This window comes from Homo sapiens, chromosome 6 (assembly GCF_000001405.40).
Source record: "Homo sapiens chromosome 6, GRCh38.p14 Primary Assembly".
NCBI classification, from domain to species: Eukaryota; Metazoa; Chordata; class Mammalia; order Primates; family Hominidae; genus Homo; species Homo sapiens.
In genome coordinates, this window is record NC_000006.12 from 108353136 (window position 1) to 108371046 (window position 17911).

The 17911-nt window shown below is 37.5% G+C and overlaps 1 protein-coding gene across 13 annotated transcripts in view, besides 1 other annotated feature; it reads left to right on the plus strand.

Annotated features, from left to right (window-relative positions):
• The window catches only part of AFG1L (AFG1 like ATPase), a 230948-nt gene that overhangs the window by 58082 nt on the left and 154955 nt on the right, over nt 1-17911 (plus strand). For 10 of the 13 annotated variants that reach the window (XR_007059229.1, NM_145315.5, NM_001323005.2 and 7 more), the window contains 3 exons: nt 2519-2620; nt 3555-3685; nt 13098-13197. Coding sequence is in view for 11 of the 13 variants with exons in the window: in NM_145315.5 (NP_660358.2) it covers nt 2519-2620; nt 3555-3685; nt 13098-13197 (333 nt within the window). In the remaining 2 variants the exon portion in view is untranslated. The remainder of the gene's footprint in view (nt 1-2518; nt 2621-3554; nt 3686-13097; nt 13198-17911) is intronic. The other 3 variants (NR_136553.2, XM_011535657.3, XM_047418559.1) reach the window with 1 other exon arrangement.
• Nucleotides 12240-12782: an enhancer, noted in NCBI's record as "NANOG hESC enhancer chr6:108686579-108687121 (GRCh37/hg19 assembly coordinates)". NCBI's record gives its function as "activates a minimal SCP1, AML or CMV promoter by ChIP-STARR-seq in primed H9 embryonic stem cells {active_cell/tissue: H9 hESC(primed)}" and the evidence as "EXISTENCE:reporter gene assay evidence [ECO:0000049][PMID:30033119]".

Here is a 17911-nt window from a genome sequence, read left to right on the forward strand (position 1 = left end):
TGGTCACACAATGTTTAATTTTTTTTTTTTTTTTTTGGACACAAAGTCTCTCTCTGTTGCTTAGGCTGGAGTGCAGTAGCACGATCATAGCTCACTGCAACCTTGAACTCCTGGGCTCAAGCAATCCTCCCATTTCAGCATCCTGAGTAGCTGGGACTACAGGCATGCACCACCAAACCTGGCTAATATTTTAAATTTTTAGTAGAGATGAGATCTCACTATGTTGCCCAGGCTGGTCTTGAACTCCTAGGCTCAAGCAATTCTCCCTCCTCGGCCTCCCAAAGTGCTGAAATTATAGGCATGAACCACTGCACTTGGCCTGTGTTTAATTTTTTTGAAGAACTGCCATACTGTTTTCCACAGTGACAGTACCATTGTTATTCTCACCAGCAATGCACAGATTCCAATTTTTATACATCCTTGCTAACACTTGTTATTTTCTTTTTTTTTTTTAATAGTCGTTCTAATGTATGTGAAGTGGTATCTTGTAGTTTTGATTTGCTTTACCCTAATGATTAGTGAATGCATTTTTGGTTAGATAATTCATGACTTTATTCTGAATCTATAAGTATACTACACTGCATGCAGCAGAATTTGAAACTTTATTAACTTTTCTGGGTAAATATAATTATTTAAAATCTACTGCTAATCACTATATCAAGAGATACTGTACTGAATATTTTTGCAATGAATGACTTTCCATCAAAGTGACTTCTTTATTAAAAAAATGTTTGGTGGATTGTTTTTTCATATACAAAAGCACTCTGACATTCAAATGGCATGGGCCCAGTGTCATCTTGTGGCTTGAAGGAAACCCAAAAGATAAGACTTAGATCTTCCTACTTTCTGAAGTGCCTTTGGATTCTAGTAATTGCAAAGGAATTACTAGACAGGAAGTGATCTTGTGGTGGTGGGAGATGGGGAAGCAGGGAGGATGTGAGACTGGACTAGCACATGCTAGCCTGGCTTACTGAGGAATGCCAGGTACAAACTGAGCTTGGGCCACTGACCCGAATGCCCTAGGCTTTCTGAGAGGGAATAAGGCATTTTATGCTACCTGCATTAAATGCTCAGGCTGTTGGATATTCAATTACAGTAGTTTCCCCTTATTCACAGAGGATAGTTCCAGTGGATGCCTGAAACCTCACATAGTACTGAACCCTATGTTTTTTTTTTGTTTTTTTGTTTTTTAAGATGGAGTCTCTCTCTTGTCGCCCAGGCTGGAGTGCAGTGGCACGATCTCACTGCAACCTCCGCCTCCCAGGTTCAAGCTATTCTTCTGCCTCAGCCTCCTGAGTAGTTGGGATTACAGGCACCCACCACCATGCCCAGCTAATTTTTGTACTTTTAGTAGAGACAGGGTTTTGCCATGTTGACCAGGCCTGTCTCAAACTCCTGACCTTAGGTGATCCACCCACCTTGGCCTCCCAAAGTGCTGGGATTACAGGTGTGAGCCACCACGTCTGGCCTATATACTATGTTTTTAACAGAGAAGGCCACTAAGTGACCAACGAGAGGGCAGTGAATACAGTGTGGATATGCTAGACAAAGGGATGATTTATGTCCTGGGTGGGATGGAACGGGGTGACATGAGGCCTCTTCATGCTACTCAGGATAGCCACACAATTTAATATTTATGAATTGTTTATTTTTGGAGTTTTCCATTTAATATTTTTAGACTATGGTTGATTGTGGGCCTTGAGTAACTGAATTCTCAGATAAGAGGGTTCTACTACTAATGCGATTGTAGTCATTAAAAGTTTTAGAGTGTTGAAAATTAGATAATTTAATTACAAGGATTGACTGTATCAGAATTTCCTCAAGTAGGCTTTATTTTGAGAGATCTATTTTCTCAGCTTTTTAAAAATAGAAGTGTTACAATTGACAATTCTCTAGCTCTAATCTACATATATGATTCATGTTCAATATTTATGTTAGATACTAATCTTTATATTTCATCTTTCTTCTCTTTTTTTTTTTTTTGTTTTGAGATGGGGGTCTCGCTATGTTTCCCAGGCTGGTCTTGAACTCTTGGGCTCAGGCAATTCTCCCATCTTGGCCTCCCAAAGTGCTGGGATTTTAGGCATGAGCCACTGTGCCCAGCCTCTTATTTTTCATTTTTGAATTTTCCCATAGTGCCTAAAACAGTTCCTTATGCATAGTAATGACCCAGTAAATATTTAATTAAGTTATTTTATTTATGCTAGTGTCTTTTGGAAGAGAAGACTGTAAATCTTGCCAGTTTATGCACATAGTTTTCAGGGGGAAATAGCCCGTGTAATGTTAACTAAATGTTGTATTTCCTATAAACAGGATTTTAACAGAAAAGAGTAATATTAACATTTTATTTTTAGCTAGTTTAACATACAAAGTAAGCTCCCCCTTCTAAAGAAGTGACATAGTCTTCAGCTTCCTAGCGGAAGAGTATGGTTTCATTATCTCAAAGCTAATGAACAATCATTACAGCAATCAGTACATACTATTTAATAGTATTCTTAAAATTTTTTTTATTTTTAAGGTACAGGAAAAACAATGGTGATGGACATGTTTTATGCTTATGTGGAAATGAAGAGGAAAAAACGGGTTCATTTTCATGGTTTCATGCTAGATGTGCACAAAAGTAAGCAATGATCTGAAAGAAGTGATTTTTTCAGTGGGGAAACGCTACAAAATGGTTTTCTTCATTGAATGAACATATACTCTTTAAAAATTAGATTTTTGCTTGCAGTAAGATTTTATTTGGTTCCATTTGTTTTGTGCTATGTTGAAACAGTCAGTAATGTGTCCAGAGTTGGTCCTTAAGACCAATTTAATACTTTCAAATCAGAGAACAGAGATTGCTGTATGAAGCTCAGGCATTTTCTGTTTCTACTAAGGGCCAATAAAAAAATGTTAAAAATGCACCTGTTTAAATAAGTGATTCTTGATTAGGCCCTTTACTCTGTGTTACCTTAGCATGTAGGCATTCAGTTTGAGTACGCATGTAAGCTTTATTGCTTTGCTAGTGATCTTACGTTATTTCACTTTTGCATGATTTGTTTACCAGCTGCACTGTAACCTCCCCAGAGCAGGAATCATGTGTTTTTTTCCTCTAATACTTGTAGCATTTAGTACACACATAATGAATGAAGTGGACTGGCCTTAGTGTATTAGGCTAGAGATAAGGGTGCATTTCGATTGCATATGCTAGACATAACATGCACTACTTGGGCAGGATCACATCCTCTGCTCTCATCCCTGAAATAAAGGACTAAGGTGGATGTGTTGATGCATCTAATCACTTGTCTATTACCTTGTCATTTCTGAAATGATTAAAGAGTAGAAATGAAATGACCTTGAAGTTTCCTTACAACTATAAGAACATAATAATATTTGAACCAACTTATTTTGTAGAGAAAATGCAAACAATTTCAATGATCAAATTTGATTTTACATGGAGTTTAAACTTAATTTTATGTCCATACTAAAGTTTCATTTAGAGATTTTAAAAATATGTTATAATTGTCTAAAAAGTACTAATATATTTCATCTGTGTTTAATTTCATGCATTTAAGGAATACATCGCCTTAAACAGAGTTTGCCAAAAAGGAAACCAGGATTCATGGCTAAATCATATGACCCAATAGCTCCCATAGCCGAAGAAATCAGCGAAGAAGCATGTCTCCTATGTTTTGATGAATTTCAGGTAAAGTAGAGATTTTTCATAGATATAGAATGGTATATTGAATGAGGTATGAAGATTTAAATTTTGCTCCTGATTTTATCATTGGTTTATAAGGTGATTTGACACATTATCTCTTACTGCTTCAATTTTACTATCTAGTTCAGGAGCTGGCAAATCACAACCTGCACAGCTGCACAGGGCAAATCTGACCTTCCTGTTTTTTTATGGTTAGTGAGAAAAGAAGAGTGTATACACACATACACACACACATGCACGTGCACACACACACACATATTTTAAGACACAGGGTCCTGCTCTGTCACCGAGGCCCAGGCTGGAGTGCAGTGGCATAATCAAAGCTCATTATAACCTCAAACTCCTGGGTTCAACTTCCCGCCTCAGCTGAGTAGCTGGAACTATAGGCTCATGCACCATACCTAGCAAATTTTTAAAAACAATTTTGTAGAGATTAGGTCTCATTATGTTTCCCAGGCTGGTTTCAAACTCCTGGCCTCAAGTGATCCTCCAGCTTCAGCCTCCCAAAGTGCTGAAATTACAGGCATGAGCCATGACACCCAGCCAAGTTTTTGTAATTTTAAAGGTAGCTGAAAGAAGAAGAAGAAGAAAAAGAAGAAAGTACAAAAGAGACCCTATATGGCTTGCAAAGCCTAAAATATTTACTATTCAGTCTTTTATACAAAAAGTCTGCCCACCTCTAAATTTTGGTCGATGACTGTACATCTCCCCTACACCACAAAGATAATGTAATTATTATAAAACAATGTCTTTAAAGATGTTTAAGTATTTTTAAAAAGTGTTATATAAAGAACAAGTGATTCATCTCATTTAAGCCTCACAACATATGTATCTGTGATAAAGGGAGGGAATTGCCTTAGTTGAACTTTTAAAGTTTCTCTTAGTTTTAGGATTCTCTGAAATTATGCGTTTAAATTGGTAGTGAGTTATTTCCTGTTCTTCTGTGTTTTATAATCTGGATTAGTGGGAAGATGATATGGCCAAGATGCTTTTATCCCAAAGCATGCATGATTGGTCTCCTTTAGCAACTGGTACACATAGCTAACAATAGTCTAGATTTATGATGGAGGGGAAAGAATTTTCACCAGCAATGCTGTTACACTAAACCATCTGGGGAAGAGGGATCTTTGCTTCTTTCTGCCTTCAGTCATAATAAGACAGACTGGACTCACCTTTGTATTTGGAACTGCAAAGGTCTTCCAAGTAAAGGCTTTATGGAAAAGAACAGATGCTCTCCTGCCGCTCTGAAGAGGCATACTAACCACATCAATGTTTTGCAGGAGAAGGGCCTCATTGAGTCGTTTGAAAAAGCACTGACTTAACAGTTATGCTGCTTTCAAGAACAAAAGTCAGTGGTGAATCAATAGAGGCCATTTCTCTTGATTTTCCATTACTAGCCTTTTAACCAAATATCTCTAAATAAAACTGAACTGGCATAGTTACAATTTTGATTAAGGTATTGAAGTTAAATTTTTAAAGAGGTTTATTAATACCTAGCCTTTGTAAAATGATCCGTAGTTTACAATGTGTTTTTACATCCTTATCTCATTTAATTCTGCAAAATAGTTGATATCTCCACATGGAGATGAGAAATCTAAAGGCATTAGAATTTCCTAGGTATCATGTAAAAATCATTACCCTTAATTTTAAAAATGTAGATTTCAAAACTTTCAGAGAAATGATTGGCTTTTTTGTTTTTATTTTTATTTTTTTTGAGATGGAGTTTCACTCTTGTTGCCTAGACTGGAATGCAATGGCGTGATCTTGGCTCACTGCAACCTCTGCCTCCTGGGTCAAGCGATTCTTCTGCCTCAGCCTCCTGAGTAGCTGGGATTACAGGTGGGCGCCACCATGCCCAGCTAATTTTTTTGTATTTTTAGTAGAGACGGGGTTTCACCACGTTGGCCAGGCTGGTCGCGAACTCCTCACCTCAGGTGATCCACCCGCCTCAGCCTCCCAAAGTGCTGGGATTACAGGTGTGAGCCACCAAGCCCGGCCTGATTGGCATGTTTTTATGGCATAAGCGTATTGGAAGGCAAGACTAAGAAGGTTAGGATGCTATGAAAATCTGGCTGTGCAAAGCACATGATCCTGAAGAAGATACAGAGCAAGCAGGGCAACTTGCCCAGTCGGTGCAGCAGACATAGTGTCTAGGGCTCATGATACTTTTAGGGATCAAGAAAATATTATAATTTCTTTTAAAATTTGTGGACATAAATGAATATATCAATAATGACTCCAGCCTGTATCTGTCTATTTTGTATTATATTTGTCCTTATACCAACATAGTCGTAATGTTTTTTTAATTGAGGATGGGGCTTATGAAAGTAAAAGTTCCTAGGGCTTACAAGAGTCATAATGCCACCTTGATAGTGAAGTCCTACCAAAAACCTGCCTGGTTGTACTGACATACGCCATTGGGTTTAGATTTCGAAAGGTTGATATATAACTAGAAAGAAGGAAACAAAAACAACTGTCAGAACACTAATGTTCCAAATGAACTGAGTCTTGCAAAGAAATGCAGGCCACAGAAAGGATTTTTCAGATTACATGTTGAGTGTAAGGGAGATCCAGGGGAGACAGGCTCTTATAAAATGCTGCTTGCTGATGGAGAGAAAGCAGATGTGATAGAGATCCCTGTTATTGCCTGCCCTGTCCAGATTGCTTTGATATTTATTCATTCATTGACTTATTCATCTCAAGGATGCCTTGAAGGCCCTTATTCCGTATCACAGGACAGGGCCCTATCTGTCCCATAGCTAAATGGACCATGCCTGGACAGCTGATCTATAAGTAGCTAATCCACAATCTCCTCAGCAGCCTTGGACTTGTATGGTGTGGCTTGGCGAATGGGCCAGTCGTAGACCCTCTCTATTGAATTTCAACTAAATGGCACAGAGGGAAGCTCTTCTTAGTAATGAAACAGAAACAAAGAAATATAGAAAGTAATGGAGCTCCAGTTCCCATAAGGTGCCATCAGTATTGTCCCCATCCTGGAGTTTCAAGTAAATCTCTTTTCTTCAGCTGGATCTCCAGTGCCTATTTCTTACAAACAGTCTTGATGAGAATAGAACTATTCAAGTCATATTTTGCTCCCATCTGCTATGTGAAGACGTATTTCCCTATGATCTGTAAAAGATAGCATAAACATTGGTAAGAAGTACTGTGAGGAAATGTCACTTTCCTTAATATGAAATCTCTTACCTCCAGTGGAAGAATTAATCGGTGAGCTAAAGCCCAGGAAGAGAAAGATGAGGTATCTGCTAGGAATGCTTTTGGCCACAGGAAACAGAAAACCCAACTTAAAAGGGCTTGTACTCTAACGGGGAAATATTCTGTTATATAAGGTAGTGTCATTTTCCTTGCTCAAACCCTTCTGCTTCCTCTCTGACCTTGTCTCCTACAGGTTCAGCCTCACTCATTGCTTCCTACTGTTCCCAATACTATTTTCTTCATAGATTAAGGAACCGCAGTTAGTAGTTGGGTATTATACCAACTACTTATTTCTTGCAGGGCTCTGAAGAAAACATGCACAGAGATGACAAAACAAGACAATACCAAATTGATTGCTTTCATTTGATCCCAAATTTTAGTGTAGCATTTTTTTTCTGTTCCCAATTATTGCATAATATAGCATTCTTGTATGTTAGAGTTGACAACATGGGAGACCCTATTCCCCTGAGCAAGTTTGGCCTGAATGTCCTAGAATGCAAAAATGTTAATAGTCTTGCTCTTTTATTTCCTTTACAATTCCAACTTGAATCTTGGAGATTACTGCTGCACGCAAGAAAAGGCTGATATCTGCATATACCCAGTGTTAGCAGAGCCAGAGAAAGTGAAAATATAAGGGCAAGAGTGTGCCCCCTAAGGGAAGAAGTGATCTCTGCTAGTTTCAGTATCCTGAACTGTCTTCTACAGGTCTTAAAGAAGTTTCTCCAATACACCAAAATTAGATGATCACAAGTCCAAATCTCTACTTATCCCCCTTCCCTAAAACTCAAGAGGTTGAAATATACTCCAAAATGTTGCTGCACCAGCACTCTGATCCCCACCATCCACACAATGTATAATGAACAAGCAGAGCCTTTGCACTGGGGATTCTTTCTGCACAGAGTGGTCCCTCTGTTCTGAGAGCCCCCAGCTAAATTGGGGTTCCAGCACCAGAGCGGCTGGCAACCCTGCCCTAACAGGAAATGCAGGGAGCTGGACATAGGTGTTTACAGCATGCCTTTCACAGGGTACTTCTTTCACCTGGAGGATGGCCTAATGCCTGGTTGTCTGACCCATGACCAGGGGGTCCCTCACACAGGAAACTTGTTTATACTGGCATATGCCTTTGTGGCTCTTCTCTGACCTATGTCCAGTTTATGCCTGTCTGACCATTGCTCTGGCACTGGGAGCCTGATCTTGTGTTCTTCCTGGCATCCCAGAAAAATCCTGGCCTGGCGCAGACCCTGGTTCTTCAGATGGAAGGTGCAAATCAATACACCACTACAATAGAAAATAAGTTCAAAGATTGATTATTTACAGATGCTGGGCAGGGAGGGAGCAATGAGTCAGAAGGCCAGTCTTTCGTCTCTGGTCACAGGAAGCAGTAATGAAGAGTCAGGCAGAGAGAGAGAGTATGGCAACTAGCAGCATGCGTGTATGTGTGTACTTTATATATATGTAGGAATAGGACGGGGTAACTATGTTTGTGAGCAAAAGCCTGAATGGTTCATTTAAAGTAAAGGAAGCAGCAGGAAAAGTGAGGAGCCCCATCTTGTAAGCAAGAGCTATGCCTCTAAGCTCTTATCTCTGGCCACAGGCTTGAGCCATTGGGTTCTACTTTTAATGCCTAGGCAGCAACCGTTGCTGTGTGGTTTCCCTCACACCCTAACATATTCCTAAGAGGAACTCCCTCATTTCATCATATCTTTGCTCAATTACCTCCTTAACAAGGCCCATCTTAACACCCTATTTGAAATTGCAGCTTACCGTTGACCCCCACACTTCTGGTGCCCCTTACCCACCTTTTTTCCCATATCATATATCACCTTTTAACATATTATATGTAATTTACTTATTTATTGTGTTTATTGTTTATCTGTATTCCCAGAATGTAAACTTGAAGGCATGAATCTTTATTAATTGATGTCTCAGGTTTCTAGGACAGTGTCTGAGAATGAATGAATAAGTAGTGAATAAATAAATGAATGAATGAATGAATCTAATACCAAATGAAAACTGTGGAAGTGGTTCCCATATTAAGTCCCACTCCCCTTACATATAATAGCATTTCTCAAGCAAAATCAGCATTTACAGAACCCAAGGTATATTATAACTTCAACCCACATTTTTTCCTGTCATCATTCTGAATTATCTGAACATTTTTGTCTAATTGAATACATAAAAAATGGTGTCTTGTTTTAATTTGTATTCCTTTAGGAAATAATATGGTTGATTTTTTTTCATGTTTGTTTACATGCTTGTTAAATCCATCTTTTATGAACTATTTGAGGTATTGCCCATTTATTTATTAGAATGCTTATATTCCATCTATTATATATGTTCTATAATATTAGTTACTGTTTATTGAGTGTTTTTCTATGTGCCTGTGTTCTTAATAACTGTATAATGCTAAATATAATTCTAGCTACAGCTAAAATTCTATGTAGCTATACATTAATAATACAGAATTATATTAATACTAGCATATATACCATACATAGGTAATAGTCAAAGTTAATGGTCTCTCATTTCTTGAGAGTTTACTTTATGTCTCATAACAATATTGCAAGGTAAGTATTATTACTGCTTTCGTTGCATTGATGAGGAAATTGAGGGTCAGAGAGGTTCAGTAACTTGACCAAGGTCACACAACTGGTAACTAACAGTTTAAGTCCAGCACTAATGCTCTTGTTTACCAGTAACAGCTATGCTATACATTTTCCTTAGTATATAAAGTCTTGTATTATGTGTTTAAATATACAATTCTAGAGCTGGGTGGGGTTTTGGTAGATGTTTTAGTGATGGAACCTAAAAATTATCCTTAAGCCTATTAAGCCTAGTACAATACTTGCTGATTTATTAAAAAAGAGTTTTTAAGGCACTTTATTCTTAGTGACAGTATATCTACAATCACCACTTCACTTTTAAAATGGAATCGTATTAGTAGCCTTGATTTTTAGCTAGTTATTATTGGCCTTTAGGTAGTGTTAATTAATATAATATTTATTTTACTAGGGAGACGAATGGTAATTATTGCTGCTTAAAAACATGGATATACTCCTTTTTTGTGCTCTTGAATTTAAGGAATTTTAAAGATTATGTTTTGGTAAGCATTCAGATTACACTTGCAGAATGCTCTTCATTAGTTTGGTCTTCCTTACTAAGTGTAGAATTTCAGCTTTTTTTAACTTTTAGTTTCAGGGGTGTGTGTGCAGGTTTGTTATATAGGTAAACATGTGTCACAAGAGTTTGCTGTACTGATTATTTCGTCACCCAGGTACTAAGTCTAGTAGCCAATAGTTCTTTTTTCTGCTCTTCCCCCTCCTCCCACCCTCTACACTCAAGTAGGCGCATTTCAGTTTTACCTGAGGTGTTAGATACACGATTCTTACCTTGGTTGAGAAATGTGTTTGGATAGTTTTTTTTTGTTTGTTTTTTGTTTTTAACATGTGTTTTGGTTGGTGAAATAAATAATAGCTTATCTTCAGAGTTTTCCTTAGGATCTTCATTATGTCCTCTTGGAATATTTATGTTACATGTTAAACTGTTTATGATTCTGAAGACATCAGATTAGTGAGGAAAACTGATTTTTAAAAATGTTATTTCTTCATATCTCTTCTGAGAGGGACACTAAATAGATGTTTTACTAATATGGGTCCAGAAAAAAAAAAAAGAATTCTGATGAGCAGAAGATCATGCAAAATTCTCCTCTATCAGCTATCAATATCATTTAAAAAATAGGTTTAACCATTTTTATGAAGCAGGAAGAAAGCTATTAAAAACTGCTAATAAAAAATAGGTGCTTATTTTTGTGCTAATCCTAATTACTGATAATGCATGCTTATGTTTGTCACTCATTATATGGCACTGTACCAATCAGTGGATGACTGAGACTCAAGCACTCACACATGTAAATTAACCATTAGATTTTTTTTCTTTTTTACTTAAGTGAGTCATAATGGAAAGCAACTCTAGGTTATAAAAAAATCTTTTCTCTTTAATGCTAATGAAATGTCTCCACTCTCTGTATTAGCAGACTACCCTTATTGGTAATCTGTAGCCTTCTCTTTTGTTCGTGGTGGTAATGAAATGCTGGGTACTGAAAAAGCCAGCTCTCCAAGAATGTGTGGCCAATTGTCTTCTGTTCACTTATACTGTAAAATTACCGTTCCCCGGCAAGGCCGAACAAGTGCGGGGACAAGATCAAAAGAGTATACATTGGCACCCGGCTACAGCAAGTGACTCCTGCTTTATTAATTAGTCATAGCTTCTCCAAGCTAATTTACTCTGATAGGGCAAAAACATTCTGAAATATAAAAACAGCAAATTATAACTCAACTACAAGCCTTTACTGTTTGCTTTCTTCAACTTTCAGTTTAAACCTTTGCATTATGTTACAAGCTAAATGTCCCTTCAGTTTTCTAAACCTTAGGGCACAAAAGCTATTTTACATTTTTTTCAAAGACATTAATCATACAGTCAAATGACCATTTTTATTCTCTAAAATCGGGTAAACTTTCATTGATACTGTTCTTTTAAAAAGTCAGTGTATTGGCAATGTAATTTAAAAGTGCAGTTGCTATTAAAATGTGCAAGCTCGTTCTGTCCTCTCATCAGAAATGCCACTGGTGTTCAAGCATTTGAAAAGGACTTTCTCTGTCAGTGTTTTTGCGGAAGCCAAATTTGACAGTGATCCTAAACTCCAAATTAAATAATATCAGCACCACTTTCCTTTTCATTTAATCACCATTTTGAAGTTCCTGAAGTCTTTTTAATGTAAGGAATCTTTAGCAGTTTTTTAGTTATAACCTGAGACAGCCAAAAAAAAAAAAAAAAAAAAAGTACATCTCTATTTCATGGTTTTGTTGTTTTCAGGTGGGAAAGAAGATATTAGCTGTAAAAAGAAAAGTGATTTAGACCTGTGCAACCCAGGTTATTGTTAATTGCATTATAACCATTCGGTTTGTAACTTTTAGTATTTTGATTTAATTGAAAGAATTCACCAATTTTTATGTCCTCTAATGGGGTTTAAAAATAACAATGTACTATATCTTGTGGATATATGTAAAGCAAGTTGTACTGAGATTATTTGAAATGTGCTATCAAAGAAAGATCAAAACATTTTTACATTGGGAGTATCTAAAGTCCATGTTATTATATACTTAGGGGAAGTTGCAATGATTGATGTCAATCTTCATTACACATTTATTTTTGGAGTCAACTTCTTTCCCTTCTTAATTGTTGTCTTTGTGAATTTTAAAAGCCTTTAGAAAAAGTTACATCATTAAGCTTACTTCGTAATTGTGAATTTAAAAAATAATTTTAGAAAAGATCAATAAACCTAACTTGGATGGAATAGTTTCATCTGTATTATGCATTTCTTGTATTGTCACAAGTTATTTTTTTAAGGGACTATATTAGCCATTCTTGAAAGGTGGTTTTTTTTGTTTTTTTTTTTTTTGGTAGAAGGAATATTTGTGTTTGTGAAGGTTAGCAGAGGCTGGCTGTGCTGGAAGTGACTGCAGTGCCTTTTGATTATTCATGGACAGTAATAGAAGGCACTTAAAAAGAACAATGAAATTGCTTATTTTTGTGATGGGCCATCTGTTGAATTGTTTTGTGCAACAATTGCACAATAGTATCTATGTCATATCATTCTATTTTCAACAGCAGCTGATTATGTCTCACTGGCTACTTGTCCTTATTTCTAAAGGCCCATGACCATTTAAAGTCACCTTTCCAGGGACCTTTGCCAGAAAGGTATTAGAAATCTCAAACAGCCTGTGTATTTTATTATTATTATTTTTTCATCTCTCTTTTTTGAGGGGGTGTGGGAAGCGGGTGGGAAGAGGAGGAGGGTGTTGGTCATGTTAGTTCTAATTAATTAGACTTCCTAAATGTTTAGGACAATTATCTATGCTTTCCACCTGTAGTTCTATAAAAGAAGTTATCATAGAACCATTTGGTAATTTGTGTAGAAATGATAGGCTTGCAAAAAAGAAGAGTCAAGTTTAAAAGACTGCTATACAGTGTTTCATGCTTTTAATTATCTACTCTTTTCTTCATGATGATAATTAGAATTTTTCTCTTGGAATTTACTTCCATCTTAAAAAAAAAGATGATCCACTAGCAAATTTGTTACAGCAGAAGTGAAATTAAAATAAAACAAATGTGTTGTTGTCAATAGGTCACTGACATTGCTGATGCCATGATTCTGAAACAGCTTTTTGAAAATCTGTTCAAAAACGGGGTCGTCGTTGTGGCAACATCCAACAGGCCACCGGAAGGTAAAAACAAACATTGTGCTAGTCTCATCCAATTAGGTGGAAACTAACAAGCTTTTAAAAATCCATAATTTTGAACTAAATGTATTGTGTTAATAAATCTGATGACTTTGCTTATTATTAGTTTTATAACTGGCTTAATCTGAAAAATCAGTTGGTATTTGCATTTGAAAAGTTTTGTATCCTTAGCAAGCTAAATCCAGTTGATTCCCATGTTTGGTGCACTTGCTGTTTTTTTGTTTTTTTTTTTCCCTAAATATTAGATATGTCATATGTGCTTAGCAAAAAATGCAGGCCTTTTGGACTGCTTTTTATGGCCCATAAAAGAAACTCAACCAAATGAAAGACGAAACTCATAATTAAATTTTAGAAAAAGACCGAAAACTTGCTTGCATGAATAGTTTCTAATACTTCACTTAAATTATCATTTCTAAAAAAGCACTTGTGGCTTATTAGGAAAGTACTTAAAAATTAAAATACAAGTAATATTTAGATTAAAAACAACAACTTTAAAATCTTGCATCTTTCAGCCCATCACGTGCTCAGTTAAAGGTCTAAGAAACCACAAATATTTCATGAGAGACTTAATGGGAACATCTTTCTGCCTGGAGTGCTGTTTCTCCAGATATCTGCATGGCTAAGCCCTCACCTCCTTTGTCTTTGCTCAGAAGTTACATTGCCAGTGAAGCCTAGACTTGTCTCCCTGTTTGAACCTGCAACACATCCCTTTCTTCTTGGTGCTGCTTCCCTTTACCCTGCTCTCTCTTTTACCCATAGCACTATGGACCTACCATATAATTTACTTATTTATTATATTTATAGTTTATTGTCTGTTCCCTTCCAGGATACAAAAGCTTCATGAGGGCAGTGATTTTTATCTCTCCTGTTCTCAGATGTGTTCTCAGCACCTATAACAGTGTCTTACACATAGATGGTTCTCAGTAAATAGTCTTAGAATGAACATTGGATGATTGCATGTTTTAAAAAGATCTCTCTGGCTGCAGTGTTGAGAATAGAGTGTGGGTATGGGGTTTCAGGGTTAGAAGTAAGGAGACCTTTTAGGAGACTACTGCAGCAATCCCAAGGGGAGGGGAGGTGATGGAGCAGTAAAGTGGTGAGAAGAGGGCAGGTTCTGGATGTACTATATAGGCAGAGTCAGCAGGATTTACTGATGGAATGGAGCTAGAGTATGAAAAAAGAGAGAGGGATCAAGAGTAACTCAAAGGTTTTGGCCTGAGCAATTGGAAGGATAAAGTTGCTGTTTACTGAGATGGGGAAGACTACAGAAAAAGCAGATTTGGTTAGGGAGGTGGAGGTAGGGGTTTCTGTGGTGACAAGGGGGATACATATAAGAGTTTGGACTTCATTGGAAAAGTCTGGGCTGGAGATATACATTTGGAAGTTATCAGTCCTCAAGGAGGCAGGAAAGAGCAGCTGGTGAGGTAGGAGGAGAACCAGGAGAGTGTCAAGTGAGGAAAAGAAAAGTAGTACAAAAAGAATTGATGATTACTTCTGTTAAGTGCTGCTACAAGCTGAAAATGAGGTTGAGAATTAACCATTGCAATTAGTAACATGGAATTCATTAGTGAGTCTGAAAAGAGTAATGCCATAGTGGGAACTTTTTTTTTAAAGTAAGCTATGCCACATTGATGGTGTATATTGAATTTTAAATTGCTAACAGACCCAGATCTTACTATGTAGCCTGCTGTGAAACTAGGTCTCTCTCATTCTATGTTTGTGTAGTGGATTTCTTTTTCTTCTATTACATTTCAGCTTATTAGTCTTATGTTGTTCCATTTTATTGATTTTTATTGAAGTATTTTTTATTTTTATTTTTGTTTTTTGTTTTTATTTATTTATTTTTGTTTTGCAAATGGAGTATGTTTGAAGTATTTTTGAAGTATGATTCTAATATAATTTTTTTTTGGCTATCCCTACTATGACATTTATACATTTGATAATCATATTTCTATGTCTTTAGCCATTCCTTAATTAAAATGTGTAAATCAGATAGGACTAAATTAAGTTACTTGTTGCATACCACTGGAGGCCTTATCTTAGGAAGACATCAATTAACTAATCAACACCTTTTGGATCCAGTTATTCAAACAATTATAGTCATACCTCATCCATTGTACTACAAAAGAATTATGAGTGATTTTGCAGATGTACTTATTAAAATCCATATAATGTTATATACAGCATTCTTGTGATTAACTAGTGTTAGCCACCCTATGAGCCAAGGGAGTGAGCTTTTTAATATTAGATCTTCTATCTAGGTGGAAGTGAAACTTGTCTCTACTACAGCTGATGTGTTGATTTGACAGTGGCATCAGTATTACCTTTAGACATTCAGTGACAAGCTATGCTCGTAAATAGCAAAGAGCTAGAACAATTTTGGAAGCCCTTTAGCAAAGACTGCTGAAAGGATAATTAGGCTGCTCAGACTATGGCAGTGTGGTTAACTAACTGAGGAAGGACAGCCACCAGGAGGGATTAAGGAATGTTTTGCAGCTCCTAGCTTTGTAGGAGTGAACAAAGCTACCGGTGTGTCAGGGTAGCCTGCAGAAATCTGAGCTGGAGCCACCCTTCTGGAGAAGACTGTAAGTTCAAGATGCGGAATTGCAAAAATTGGACAAACTTAGAGAAAGCCTTTTCTAAATATAAACAGTGGAAGGAATGGGATGCTTGTCACAGACCAGGTTTTTTAGCCACAGCAGACAATCATCATAAATAACTTAATATTTTAAAGTAATGAAGATGACATGTATATGTGTGCGTGTGTGTGTGTATAATTTTATTTGTGGAGAAAAAGACTCAGAGAGACTAAGCATATCAGGAAGAGGTAAAACTGTAAGACGAAGAATGAAGCAGTGATTGCCAAGGTCCAGGGTGAGGAGGTGTTTGACTACAAAGGGGCAGGCTCAGGATGCAACTGCTGCATCCAGATTGTAGTGGTGGTTACATGTGCTAAAAACTCATAGAACCGTAGGCCAAAAAAGTTACATATTATAAGTAAATTAAAAACAAATGACATGGATAGTGAATGACAGAACAAAGACTAGAACTTAGGTTTTGTGACTCTTTTTACACATTGTTTTCTATCTTTTTGCCTTATGGTCATCACTGATCTCTGTCTATCCTGTCCTAGAGAAAGAACGTCCTTTTCTTAAAACAGCAGCTCAAAGTACTGTATTAAAAAAAGGTGGGAGGGGGAGAAGAAAATAAAGAAGAGTGTCCTCTTTTCCAGCCATCAAAATGCGTTCAACTTTTTTTAGGTCACAATTTTTTTTTTTTGGAGACGGATCCTTGCTCTGTCGCCCAGACTGGGGTGCAGTGCGCGATCTTGGTTAACTGCAACCTCTGCCTCCTGGGTTCAAGCAGTTCTCCTGCCCCAGTCTCCCAAGTAGCTGGGATTACAGGCACCCACCACCATGCCCAGCTAATTTTTGGTATTTTTAGTAGAGACAGGGTTTCACCATGTTGGCCAGGCTGGTCTTGAACTCCTGACCTCAGGTGATACACCTGCCTCGGCCTCCCAAAGTGCTAGGATTACAGGCGTGAGCTACTGCACCCAGCCCCAGATTGATCTGGCTGGCTGGCTGGCTGGCTGGCTGGCTATCTATCTATCTATCTATCTATCTATCTATCTATCTATCTTTTAAAATAGAACCAACTTCTTAGACTGCTACAAGAGCTGGCAGAGGGTTGAGGCAAAGCTGAGTGGCTGGAGAAATGACCCATTTGAGGTAGCCAGTGGGGCTAGAGTGGAGAGTGAGGGGGAGAAGGATGCAGTAAGGTACAAGTTGATCTGTAGAGGAAAGAGCTAAACCTTTTAGCGTAATAAGGATTTTGGATTTTATTCTAAGAGAAACGCTAAGCCACTGAAGCTTATCTTAAGCAGGGACTGATGTGATCTGAGTTGGAAATATCCTTCTGGCTGTAGTTTGGAGAATAGGTTACTAGATGGGGTATAGTAATATGATGCATGCAGGGAGACATATTAGGAAGCTGTTGTAGCACACTAGACAAGAAATGATGATACCTTGGTATAAGGGTATAAGGCAGTGATTTTCAGTGAGGGGCCTCTTTTGCTCACTAGGGAATATTTGGTAACATCTGAGACATTTTTGGTTGTCTCACCTGGTGGAAGAGGGCTGCTACTGGCATCTAGTAGGTAAAGGCCAGGAATATAGCCAAAGTATCCTATAATTTAACCCCTGCAACAAGGAATTATGTAGCCTGGGTTAAGAAACCCAGGTACAAGGTGATGGCAATGGATATGGAGAGAAGGATAGATTTGAGAGAGATTTAGGGGGTGAAGTAGACAGCACTTGGATATAGGTTGGATACTGAGGAAAAAGGAAAGGACACTTTCTAATTTTCTGGCTTGTACAGCTGGGTGAATGGTGTGTCTGCCATTCAACAGAGACAGAAAACTAGAGGTTAGGAGTCTAGAACACGCATTTTCTTTTTTTCCTCTCTCTATTAATCGTTTAGCCCCTCTGATTAATTCCTTCTGCTTCATTCATCTCATTCCCTCCATTTCTAGTTATAATGCTTTGGTAATTGGTGGTCATGTAAAGCAACACCAAGTTTAGGAACCTAAGAGAGTAAATAGCTGTGGAGTGGAGTGTCTTGGAAGGTCTTGTGGAAGACAAGGGGAAGTCATACTTGAGGCGGGTGGAGGGAATAAGGTACCAAAGACTGCTTTCCT